Raw genomic sequence first — 14,134 nt, 5'->3', positions numbered from 1 at the left:
GAAGTTCCAAACTTTCCCACATTTGTCTGTCTTCTTCTGGGCCTGCCAAACTGTTCCAACCTCTGCCTGTTACCCCGTTCTAAAGTCGCTTCCACATTTTTTGAGTATCTTTTCCCACATTTGTCTGTCTTCTTCTGAGCCCTCCAAACTGTTCCAACCTCTGCCTGTTACCCAGTTCCAAAGTCAGTTCCACACTTTTGTGTGTCTTTTCAGTAGCACCCCACTCCTGATACTAATTTACTGTATTAGTCTGTTTTCATGCTGTTAATAAAGACACATTGATACTGGATAATTTATGAAGGAAAAGGGTTTAATGAACTTACAGTTACACATGGTTGGGGAGGCCTCACAGTCATGGTAGAAGGCAAGGAGGAGCAAGTCACATCTTACATGGATGGCAGCAGGCAAAAAGAGAGAGCTTGTGCAGGAAAATTCCCTTTTTTAAAACTATCAGATCTCATGAGACATATTCACTACCATGGGAACAGCATGGGAAAGACCCACCCCCATAACTCAATTACCTCCCACCAGGTTCCTCCCATAACACATGGGAATTGTGGAAGTTACAATTCAAGATGAGATTTGGGTGGGGACACAGCCAAACCATATCAGATACTATATATCAATCAGTTCAACGTTTATCCTGCCTTCATGGAATACAAATTTAATGGGAAGAAATATAAGAATGATTGACAAATAGATAAATGAGGTTGATTTCAAATAGTGATTAATAGTGTTTTAGAAGATACAAGTTTTAGAAGACCAAAGAATGGGAATATTTCAGGGAGAGAAAACTCTCAAAAATGTAAGATGAAGAGCTACTTAGTATTCTTGAGAAATGAACGGAAGGTAAATGAGGTTGGAGGTTAGTGAATGAAAGGGAGAGTGGCAAGATCTCACTGTGAAATAAATCTATTAGTTATTCCAGGTGTTAACTGGAATATCATGTGGGACTGGGAAAAGCATGTGTGATGTCATAATAAAGGATGGGTATTTTATTCTAAATGCTAAGGTAAGACATTACAGTTTTTGTTTTAGGTATGAGCCTTGCAAGAAGACATACATATTTTGCTGATTGCCAAGGGGATAATGCATTGGGTATAAGAAGAAGGAAAGTAGAGGAACCAATTAAGAAATATTTACTACAATTAAGAAGAGATGATAATAACTTCGACCAAGGTGGAGGCTATGAAGATGGAGCAATGCGAATACATGGAGACATGTTTTTGATGTAGACTCAGCAAGAAATTCTAATATATTAGATTTTATGTTTTGGGAGAAAAAGAGACATCTCCAAGATTATGGCTTGAATAGATTGGGTAATTATGCAATTTGTTTTTATGGTGAAGAATGGGGGGGATATTTGTGAGGAATTTAGGAATTTGATTTTGGTCATGTTAAGCCTGAGATTCCCTAAGCAGTAAGCAAATAGAGATGGCAAGTAGAGTGGTGGAATATACTTCTTAGCTAGAACTTCAGAAGACAAGGCTGAATCAACGACATTAGAATTCACTAACAAGTTGGAGATAAAGGCATGGGACAGCATGAGGAGAAAAAGAGAAGAGACATAGGATCTAGTTCTAATTGAAAGCATCATTTAGTGGTTGTGTAGAGAAGGAGTCAATGAAAAAACATGAAAAAAGGTGACAGTGAGGTAGAAAAAAAATCATGAGAGGGTGCTGTTACAACAGCTGATAAAGATAAATGTTTCAAGTAGGAAGAGGTAATCAACTGTGATGAATATGGCAGACAAGTGTAGTAGTATTAGAAAAACGTCCATTTTCCTATGGTAATGTAGAGGTTCTTTGAGATAAGCAACATAAACTTTACATAAGCCTTTGTGAAGTAGGGGCAGTGCCAGATGGCAGTAGATTTAAGAGTAAAATATAGAGGAGGAAGAAGAGAAAGTGTGCGTAAGACAGATGGGTCTTTTGAGGTTTAGCTAGAAAGTAAGTGGGTGGTAGCTGGGATATTTTTATGTAATTTTTTTAAGAATAAAGGGAAAAGAGTACAGTCTTACATTAATGCAAACAACTTAGTAGAGAAGGAGAACCTAATAATGTAGAATGAAAATAATAATAGAAGGGAAATAGTTCCTGAAAAGACAGAAAAAAATGAGATCCAGAGCAAAAATGGAGGGGGTTTAGCTCTTAAAAAGAGGACTCATCTTCAATCTAAGAAAGGGATGAAAGATGAAAATTATGATAGCTTTTTATGTTTGCTATTAATGAGATTAGGGATATACTTTGAGTGGGTTTTAATCCCTCAATAGCACACAAAATAAGATCACTAGCTGAGAGAGATAGAGATAGAGAGACAGAGACAGAGGTAGAGGTAGAGATAGAGATAAGAGAGAGATAAAATATTACATGGGGCTAAGACAAAGTTTCTGGGTTTGCTATCAACTGATATTTGGACATCAGTGGGATTAATGTGAAAGAGCCCATAAAGGAAGAAATTTAATAATGGTTAAAAAATACTATTGCAGAAAGATTAATCTGGCAAAGTCATAAGAAATACATTGAAGGAATGGAAGAAAAATAAAACAAGAAATTATACTACTAAAATAATTTTGAACATGCAGTGCCATGGACTGAAATCAGAGGCGTAATTTGGGTAATAGAAGGTTGAGATAGATTTGAAAGGTCTTATAAAGTATAGATAAACAGTGCTTATGTATTACCTGGAGATGGTATTATAATTAAAAAATAAAAATCTGGATTTTAGTTTTATTTTATTATTTTAAGTGTTAAGATATGGTAGTATGGTGGTGCTATTGAAAGAAATTTAAATGTATAATGTAAGTTTTTTAGGGAGAAGATGGGTTAAAGTTTGAATGTGTTTTATTTTAGGACTAATAGTGAAACTTGAGAGTGATCACATATGGAGATGAAAGATTGAAAGACCTCTCGCTGAACATAATATAGAAGGTCTAAAATACTCTCAAGTCCCCTCCATCTCAAAATGACAGCAGTAACAGTGAAAACTAAACATAGCTGTACCAAGGTAACAAATAATCTCTTTGTTTTATTCTTTCCTTAATTCATTTATTTAATTAATATTTCTTAATTTCTTTATATGTTCATTATATGTTCAAAATCCTGTGATCTGCTTTTGTGAATGATGAGAAAAAGGGCGGGGGATAGTGAAGCAGGTATGACCCCTGCTCACTCTCACATAGCATATAGCTTTCAGTGTGGAGATAGATTAAACAAATGGTTACATAATTAGATAATTACATTTATAATAAGAGGTAATGAAGAGAAGTTTATAATTATATGAGAGCACATAATGGGGTTGCCTTTGTACTGTGAGTAGTTGGAAGAAACAAGAAAGTTGGAACTAAAAAGGTGAGAAGGAATTGGCTAGGTTAAGAGACAGCAGAGTTCTGTGCAGAGACAACAGTATGACACAGTCAAATAAGAAAGAGGGTTGGTGTGCCTTAGACGGAGAAAACAAGAAGAAAGGTCATGAGCTCTGTGGCAGAAGTAAGGGGCTCAAATCTATAATTTTTTAAATTCATATTTGCATTTACAATGGCATAATGCATATCTCCATTTAGATTTTTTATTGGCTTCTGAACTACTGAGTGCATCAGGCTGAATTAATTAATTTCCCTCTCCTATGATATATTGATTAAAGGCATTAAAATCTATTAGTCATTCACACACACTCTAAAATCTGTTTATCTTTAATTTTTCTCCTTTATCCTTCACACTCAATGACTCACAGAGGATGATTCTACCTATGAAATTGTTTTTCCTGTGAAATTTGTCTTTTGTCAGAGAAAAGTGAATGTATCATTTAGTTAAGTTTTTGTAACTTTGCATTTTCTATCTCCTAAGCATCTATAATTCTAACCTCTATTACCCAATTAGCCAATGGGCTATGAGCCATATTTCATCTTGACACTTTGTATCTAGCATATAACATACATCTATTAATAGGTACCAAATGGTAAATATATATAAATATAAATATATATATATATATATATATATATATATATATATATATATATATATATGTATGTTGCATGAATGGAGGGAATGTAGAATGATAATTGTATGAATATTATCAATAGAAAATAGAAAGATTTGAAGGCAAAGCAGAATGTGAAATTGTTGGATAAGTGGTTCCCCACATTAAAATTGCTCAGGGGGCAGCTGTTGAAGTAATTTAAAAAAATCGATTCCCAACAGTTATGACAAGATACCTATATGACAACATACTCAAATCTTGTCATAAGAAATTTTTTATTTAACTGGTCTTGGTGAGGCATAGGAACAATAAATTATTTTCTTTCTTTATTGAAACTCTGATCACTTCTTAGCTCAATAACTCTTTATTGATTTTATTTGTCCCATCCCAAACTCATCTCTCCTAATTCATAGATGGGATGGGACAAATAAAAACAATAAAGGGTGATTGACTCAGGATAAAGGTACTCCATGGGTGATTTTAACATGTAATTCTTTCAGGGAACAACTTATCTAACAATTTTACATTCTACTTTGCCTTCAAATATTTCTGTTTTCTATTGATAATATTCCCACAATTCTCATTCTACAGTTCTTCCATTCATTCAGTATACATATTTATTTATCATTTCCAATCTTGGCATAAGTAATTCTGATTTAACTGGCCTTGGTGAGGCATAGGAACAGTTATATTAAAAAAAAAATCCTCAAGTGGGTATGTTATACAGTCTTAGGTAAGAATCATTAGAATAGATGAGTTTGGGATGGGACAAATAAAACCAAAAGAGTTATTGAGCTAAGAAGTGATTAGAGTTTCAATGAAGAAAAAATAATTTATTGATATAGCCAAAACACCTTACACTCTGGCCAACATACAGTGCTACAGAGAGAGAAACAGGAGTTTATATATTTTAAAAATCTGTTGGTGTTTATGTTTAAAAAGTCATCATCAAACTTTAAAGCAGCAATTTTACTTGTGCAGAGAGAAACAGATTACAGAGAAGTGGTAAAACAAGTCTTGGGAGAGTGAAGGGTTAATAAAATATATTTAAGAAATTTAAGTAATTTGAGAGAAACTGGTTGTTAGCATGAAGAAGCGATCATTGAAAGATTTTAATTTTTTTTTCTTGTAGTACCGATCTAATATATTGGAAAACATGGTAGGAAATAGTAAAGAGAGAGAAATTATTTAGGGTCAAGTATCTCAGAGGAAGTGGCAGAGTATAGTATTTAGGGCAGATGTACAAGTTAACCTTGGGAAATAGAAGGGAATTTGTCATTTTTTCTCTTAGTGAAGTGGACAAAGGAGTGACTCAGAATTTAAAGACAGAGAAGTATATTTTGTGTAACAATTATGAAAATTGTACTAAATAATTGTATTATTCAGGGTTATCCATAGAAACATAACCAATAGGATATATAGTATATATATGTGTGTGTGTGTGTGTGTGTGTGTGTGTGTCTGTGTATGAGGAAATTTATTATAGAAATCTGTTCACAAAATTATGATGGCCAAGATGTCCCACAATATGCTGTCTTCAAGCTGGAGAACGAAGAAAGTCGGTGGTGTAATTTAGCCTGAGGTTAAAGGCCTGAGAACCCAGTGGGTAAAAGGACTGCTGGTGTAAGTCCCTGAAACCAAAGGCTCCGGAACCTGGAGTCCTGATACTCTCTTACACAGGAAAAGATGGATGCACCAGCTCAAGAAGAGAGAGAGAGAGAATTTGCCCTTCCTCACAGATTGGATGATGTCCATCCACATTAGTGATAGTGGATGGATCTTCTTTACTCAATCTACTGACTCAAATTCTAATGTCTTACAGGAACACCCTTGCAGACACACTGAGAAATGTTTTCACCAACTATCTGGGTATTCTTTAGCTCAATCAAGTTGACACATAAAATTAGCCACCACCACACATTCTTAAACTTAAGGAGTCCTTTCTGGAATGCAACTCTGCACACTTGAAATTTTAATGAATGTTAAAATCTTCTGGTACTGGGCTGAGGAATCACTTATTATGAAAAAGTTTGATGACATTCTGCAACAAAAATTTCCTAACTTTATTCAGATAATTTTTAAATGGCTTTGCCTTCTATGTTATGAGCAACATTTACACCCAAAATTGTGTTTAAAATTTCCGTAACTTGGAATGATTTATTTTTCTCAGCTAAGAATGTTTAAATTTCTAAGTGAGGCAAGCTTAGGGTCTGGGCTCCAAGATAGGAATGTGTTGAAAACAAATGAAGAGAATTTGAGATGATTTTGCAACTACTGAGAGTATATTGGTGTTATGAGTGTGTTGTTTAAAACGTAGTGTTATAACAGATAGCACCTCTCCTTGATCCTCTTGATCCTGAGACCACTAAGTTTAGCTGATTGTCTTAGTCTGATTGTCTTTGTTTTCTGTTTCTATAAAGGAATACCTGAGGCTGGGTAATTTATAAAGAAAAGAGGTTTATTTGGCTCATGGTTCTGCAGGCTGCACAAAAAGCATGGTGCCAGCACCTGCTTCTGATGAGGGCCTCGGGCTGCTTCCACTCATTGCGGAAAGGAAGGGTGTGCAGAGACCACATGGTGATAAAGGAAGTAGGAGAGAGGGGAGGGAGATACTGAGCTCTTTATAACTTTAGTTTCCAAGGAAACTGATAGGACAACTCACTCACTCTTGAGGGATGGCATTAATCTAATATTTATGGGGTATCTGACCCCATGACCAAACACCTCCAGTTAGGCCCCGCCTCAAGCACTGTGGATCAAATTTTGGCATGAAGTTTGGAGGGTCAAACATCCAATCTATAGCACTGATTAAAGACTTAGAGGCAGGCCTTGGGGTGCTCTTGACATAAGATGATTTCTCCCTTGATGACTCTACTGGCTTATACCAATTTCATGGAATCAATATTGGTTGCCATTCAAATGTTGCATTGACTGGATAGAGTAGCCACTTGTTAAGGATGTAAGGTTGGATCTGAAAGCTTTGTATGGAGAAAATATTTAGAGTCCCCAGAAAAACTGAAAGTAATAAAAGAGGGAGTAAATTTGCATCATTTTGGTAAATATGGTAAAATTTAGTGGAGTTGATTGCCAGTAATTACAAATAGAACCAAGAATAAGTCTTTCAATTTTTGGCATAGCTACCATTACTTGGCGATAATGTGCTTAGATGAGATTTTTAAGAGGAATCTCATTTATAAAACAAGATCTGTCCCCACATGCCTTGTAGTGCTATTTAGTATGTTGAAAGGTGACCTCAGATATTGCTAATACAGGCCATTGGTTGGGATTTTCTTTTTTAAAGCTGCAGGCATAGAGAGAACATAAAATTACCCTGTAAAGCTGTGTTTTTGGTAAAGTATGTTGGAATATTCCATACTAATTTTGCTGTAGTAAGTATATGAACCATTTTTCTCTTATCATATGTACCAGACACCAATGTGCACCAGTGAAATGACTCTGGGCAAACACAATGGATAAATTCTATCTATCCCTTGAGAAGAAGTGTAATATAATAGTTAATGACATATACTCTGGAACAAAACCACTTAGCTTTAAATTCTGTCTCTGTCACATACCAGCTGAGTGATCTTGGCAACATCATTTTATTACTTTGGGTATCAGTTTTCTCATTTTAAAATGAAGGTGATACTATACTTAACCATACAGGGTTGTTGGTGAAATTAATACATATAAATATTCATGTTCAATGTATTATGGCACTAAGAGCACTGTCTGTGGGAGAGCAAGCACAAAGGAATGTTTTACTGTCATGTTGATAAGAACGGGGGGCAAGAATAAGCTTTTGGGTTTTAAACGGTGCCTCCTTGAATCATAACTAGAAATTTTTGCAACAGCTCCTGAATACCTTCCTTGATTAAAGTCCAATTTAATTCCCAGCCTGTATCTCAGTTTATTTATTTTTTTATTATCTCAATCTGTTGGTACTGCTGTCAGAATTTGCTTTTTGCTTCTGTGATTCCTCTTTTGATTCCTGGTATGGTCTGAATGTTAGTGCGTCTCCACCCCCAATTTATACATCAAAACCTAATCCTCAGTGTGATAGGATCCTCAATGTGTATTAGAAGTCAGGGCATTTGGGTAGTGATTAGTCATTAAGTCAGATCCCTCATGAATGGGATTAGTGCCTTTATAAAAGAGACCCAAAAGAGCTATCTCGCCTTTCCACCATGTGAGGACATAGTGAGAGGCACCTAATACAAGGGCCCTCGCCAGACACCAGATCTGCTGTGCCGGGGCCTGGACTTCCCAGCTTCCATAACTGAAAAATAAATATTTGTTTATAAGCTACCAACTTTCTGGTGTTTTTGTTATAGCACCCTAAACAGACTAAGACAATTCCTCATCAAGGACTTTTCTTGTATCTACCTCATATCTTCTAAATTGTACTCACTTTGTAATGTATCCACTTCAGATGCTTGGGAGAGCTGGCATTTAGCTGACCCAACAGGCAGAACATTAATGAAAACAGATGAGGGTCAAAGATTATTCCCACTTGGAGGCCAAGTGTCCTGATTAGAACTGGAATTCCTTATTCCCTTTCTTAATAAGAACATAGGGCTCTAGTAAAGAGGGTTGTTGGTTTAATGAACTTTTACTGGAGCACCTTTGGCTCCAATAGTGTGTACACTCCGCTAGCAGGGATGTTGTCTCATGGCACTCACTAGTAAGTAGGCAGGCATAATCGTAGTCCTGAAGTGCAGGCAACATAGTGATTAAGCAGCCAGTCTCCATAACCAGATGGCTTAGATGCCAATACTGACTCCTTCACAGCCCTGCTCAGTGACCTCGGATAGGGTACCTAAGCCATCAAATAATCTGCTTGGTTTTCTCATCTATAAAATGGAGGATAATTATATTTTCCTCTGAAGGTATTCTGAAGATAAAATGAATTCATGGATGGGAAATAGGGCTTTACATATGGGTTACTCACTGTTACTATTAAATAAATACTTGATATTCTTTGTGGAATTAACTTATTAGCCCTGCACGCCTTTTAGAGTGTGTGTGGAAACGGTCATGGCAACCCACAGGATTTGTGAGCAGTGAACACATCACCACCCTAGGTACTAAAGGAAATGGTGAGATGATGGCACTAATGCTAGTGAAAAGTTGAACAAGAACAATGGGTACCCGGTTGACCTTTGTGGCAAGGCTCCAGCAGGAGGCAGCACCTGCTATGCCCATCTCAATGAACACCTGCTTTCGTTTTACGACAGATGTGTGACTGCTCCAAAGTTTGGCTGTAAAAACTATCCTGAACCCTTAAACATGATATAGAGGCAATCTTGCCTGTCTACCAATGGGAGACAATCTGGCCTCGAATCTTCTTCACAGCCCCTGGAAAAGTGTGACATTCCTCATGGTGGGGCTTACATCCTAGGATGCCCATACACAGAGTGGCCTGTTTTACCGTCACCATGTAGTGTAGCGTGGTACTATGTCCAGTCCCCAACCCCACTGCCAGTAGGTTATGAACACTTTCACTCCATGACATTCTGTTGCCATTAAAATGTTTTTGAAGAGTGTATAACAATATGGGAACTTTATGTTATAAACCAAGTGAGAGAAAGTATGAAGTTTTCTAAAACAGTATTATTTTTTATTTCTTACTCCACTCTTGAAAAAATGATAAACTCACCTCTCTTGTATGTGCCTATTTTCATCACCATACAGATAAGTACATTTTGAGTCACATATTGCTTTTTTAAAAATGGCATTTTAAATTAGAAATAAATTCCTCAAGGGCAGATATAAAATCTCACTTATTTTTCTACGCCAAGCCCTAATACAGTGCCTCACATATAGCAGTTATCCAATGAAAGTTTACTGAGTGAATAAATAAATGAGCAAAAATGTTTGCCATTGAGATATGGAATTAACCTGAGTGTCCATCAACAAAAGAATAGATAGGCCGGGTGCGGTGGCTCACACCTGTAATCCTAGCACTTTGGGAGGCCGAGGCAGGCGGATCACTAGGTCAGGAGATCGAGACCATCCTGGCTAACACGGTGAAACCCCGTCTCTACTAAAAATACAAAAAAATTAGCCGGGCGTCGTAGTGGGCGCCTGTAGTCCCAGCTACTCGCGAGGCTGAGGCAGGAGAATGGCGTGAACTGGCGAGGCGGAGCTTGCAGTGAGCGGAGATCGCACCACTGCACTCCAGCCTGGGCAACAGAGTGAGACTCCGTCTCAAAAAATAAATAAATAAATAAATAAATAAATAAATAAAAGAATGGATAAAGAAAATGTAGTATATATACACAGTGGAATACTATTCAGCCACAGAAAAGAACAAAATCTAGTCATTATCATCAACATGAATAAACCTGGAAAGCATTATGTTAAGTGAAATAAATCAGTCACAGAAAGACACATGCCACACCATCTCACTCATAAGTGGAATCAAAGAGTTGATCTCATAGAAATAGAGAGTAGAATGATGGTTACCAGAGGCTGGGTTGGCTATCAGGGAGGGGAGGATCTAGAGAGCTTGATCAAAGGATACGTAATTACGGTAAAATAGGAGGATTGAATTTTGAGAGATCTATTGTACAGCAAGGTGATAATAGTTAATGATAATATATTCTTGAAAAATATAAAATTAGGAAACATTGAGTGCTCTTATCACAAAAATTATAACTATGCGAGACAATGCATTTGTTCATTAGCTAGGTTTAACCATTCCACTATATATATATTATATATATGTATATATATACACACACACACACAGAAATATGTTATTTGTATGTGTTATCTGTCAAATTAAATTTAAAAAATAAATTAAGGAACAATTTTATTTTTAACATCTGACAATGTTATCTGTCAAATTAAATTTAAAAAATAAATTAAGGAACAATTATATTTTTATGTACTTTCAATATCATTCTTAGAAACATGGAAATAACCTCTTTGTTTCCTTTTGTCCTAAGTCTCGGTGGTCAGTTTCTTTTTATAAACTCACATAAATTAGACTAAATAACATCTTTCTTTCTGTGGAAAAATGGTATTACTGTTCAGACTCATGGGCCTCATTGTCATTACATCACCAATCTATACACATTTAGCTCCTTAGGCCTAACTTGGAAATTGATGTTTCCCCTCCCTAGTCATTTCTGTTGCCTGTCTCTCGCACTCTTGATGAGGCTGTATTACCTCAGACACTGTTATCTGATGCAGTCTCCCCAGAGTTTTGTAGGAAAAGGCTATTACTTTCCCATCCTAGGATCTAATGTCTCTTCATATGCAGCCTTGAAAATCACTGCCTGTCTGGGTACCGTATTACATTGTGTGCAATTCTAATTTGTCTTCAGTTTTCAGCCATTTGTCTCCTTTGGTGATACTGATTTCTGGAGCAATTCTGCTCTTTGACTTCAGACTATTTTCCTGAGGTCTATTCTTGTTTGTTCTCTTCAGCATTTATGGAGAATTTTAGAAGTTAGCATTCAGTCTTATATACACTCACTTTAGGATAAGTCTCACATCTTTGAAATATTAACAGCTCTTTTCATTTCACCACAAGTAACAGAAATGTACAACAAACCTCTCTAAGATGAATGAATTTTCTGTGCAAACTAAATTAGGAAAATGCACTAGGGAAGCTGGGGTGGAGATGATGATTACAAAAATCTCGTTGACCTCTTTATATGCCCTTGGACAAGTCAATTGACTTTCTAAAATCTCATCTTGCAAATTTGTATAGAAGGTAAAAAAAGGCTTCTTAAAATCCTTATCCACAACCTATTTCATATACTTGTTATAAGGATCAATTGAAATATTGGCTATAAATATTTTACAAAGACTTCACAAAGGTGAGTTTAGTTCAGGATAAAGAAGCAGTGATCATGTTCAATATAATTTAAGTTAAATGTTAAGAAGAGTTAACAATGAATTAAATGAAATAATCACTAATGCCGACTGCTGGTTGAAGTTTTGTTTTTGTTTGTTTGTTTACAGTTTTCCAATTGTGCCTGCATCATAGTCACCTGCATGTTCACTAAAAGGGGATGCTATTCACTGAGGTTGCTCTTAGATGTGTCCTATCTCCTAAAAATTAAAAACATCTATAAGAATTTAAAAGTACTCAATCAGGCCGGGCTTGGTGGCTCACCCCTGTAATACCAGCATTCTGGGAGGCTGAGTTGGGCTGATCACCTGATATCAGGAGTTCAAGATCAGCCTGGCCAACTGGTGAAACCCCTTCTCTACAAAAATACAAAAATTAGCTGGGCATAATGACAGGTGCCTACAGTCCCAGCTACTTGGGGGGCTGAGGCAGGAGAATCACTTGAACCTGGGAGGTGGAGGTTGCAGTGAGCCGAGATCACACTCCAGCCTGGGCGACAGAGGGAGACTCCATTTCTAAAAATATAGATTAATTAAAAAAATAAAAGTACTCAATCAGATAGACCTGGTTTGAATCTCAGCTCCACTGCTTACTAGCTTACATGTGGTTGGAAGAGTCATTTAATTTCCACTGTCAGTTTCCTCAACTATAACATGAGCACAATGTGTCATCATCTGGGTGAAGATTGAAGGAGAATGCAAGCCAAGCCATGAAAACAATGTCTGGCACATATTTAGTCTCAATAAATATGTGCTATTCCTAAATATCCTTTTAGATACATTTGACTATGAGCATTCCTGGACTTATCCATCTATCACTGGAAAAATGGCTGTGTATTCCTTTCTTTCTTCATGTGGTAGGTTTCTATGTTGGATGCTGGTGGTATAGAAATGAATTAAATTGAATGTGCATTCACTAGCTAGGACTTGAACTTGTTCATTGGTGTTCCTACTGACTAACACTGCACCTGGTGCATAGTCCTTACTCAATAGTTTTTTTTTAATTAAATGACTTAATGTCTCATCATGCTTTCAGCTGAGCAATGGAGATGATTATGTAAACAATTTTATGAAGTGCACTGCAACAAGTGCTATAACTTAGGTGTCTTCTTCTCGATTTAATTTTGTTTCTTCAGCTATTCTATTATTGTTTATCTAAATTTTATTTTCTTCCCTTTTAATTTTTCCTGTTATGGCATCATTGTTTTTGGTTCTTAGGCTTTTCCAACACTTGCAGTGTCTCCTTATTTTGTATCATGTAAAAATTTCATTAACTTGGTGTTTATTTCCTCTGCCTGACATTGAATAAAAATAATTTCATACAACAGTTACTGAGACCCACACTCATTCAACAACTGTCCTTCCTAGCCTGTTAAACACATTTCATTATTTGCTTTGATCTCTGGCCTTTGAGCAAGTTTGAATTTTCACAATTAGAATTTTATCACAGGCAATTTTTAAAACATTTTTCGGGAACATTCTTAGGGAAAAATTTATGAGGCCTACCACTGTAGGTGTGTGTGTGTGTGTGTGTGTTTGTATATGTGAGTGTGTGTGTGTGAGAGAGAGAGAGAGGGAGAGAGAGAGAGGGTCATGTAAATCTTAATTGTGTTGAATGTCTTATGTTTAATACTAATCATGTGATAAAATCATCTCAAGGGAAACTTTTTTCAAAAGCAGAATATATGTTAGATTATGAATGAGGATGTTCAGTCTCAAGTAAAATAATATTAGCTAATATTTTTTGAATATTGCAGATTGTCAGGTATTGCTTTAGGTGATTTTATAAATTAAACATTTTTATGAATCAATTTGAGAATTTTCATTCATTTACAGATAAATAATTTGGGGTACAAATCAGTTGAAGAAGTTATGCTACATCACAGAGCTGGTGAACACATGGCAGAACTGGGATTCCAATTCCCATATGTGGGCTGCTGGGCTCATTTTCTTCTCTACTAGAATTTTTAGCTTTTATAATTTTGGCTGTCCAGAGTTCAGTCTTTCTGTTTCTGTTAAGAGCAACTTGATTTAGCTTTGGGCACCACCCCAGACCCATTGATGAAAGACTCAGTAGGTCTATCCATCAGGCTTCCTGACCTCTCTTTACGAAGAGATTTGTGTGTGACCCAAGAGCAATCACACTCTTTCTTTCCAAAACTTTTATCTAGATTGCAGAAACAAAGACTGAAAATGATTGGAGTTGATTCACCATGAAGGCCACAACCCGAAGAGACTTTCCGTTAGTTCCTGCTTTTAAGTCTCTAAAGCATCTCTGAGTTTTGAA

The 14,134-nt window shown here is 36.3% G+C and overlaps 1 long non-coding RNA gene across 5 annotated transcripts in view; it reads left to right on the top strand.

Annotated features, from left to right (window-relative positions):
• LOC101928570 (uncharacterized) overlaps positions 1-14,134 on the top strand; it is a 248,816-nt gene that overhangs the window by 43,134 nt on the left and 191,548 nt on the right. For all 5 annotated transcript variants that reach the window (XR_241864.5, XR_007059650.1, XR_001744206.2 and 2 more), the window contains exons 2-3: positions 1,039-1,319; positions 2,853-3,006. This is a non-coding gene — a long non-coding RNA (uncharacterized LOC101928570). The remainder of the gene's footprint in view (positions 1-1,038; positions 1,320-2,852; positions 3,007-14,134) is intronic.

The sequence above is a fragment of the Homo sapiens genome, chromosome 6 (genome assembly GCF_000001405.40).
Source record: "Homo sapiens chromosome 6, GRCh38.p14 Primary Assembly".
Lineage (NCBI taxonomy): Eukaryota > Metazoa > Chordata > Mammalia > Primates > Hominidae > Homo > Homo sapiens.
This window is presented reverse-complemented; position numbering and strand designations above follow the sequence as displayed.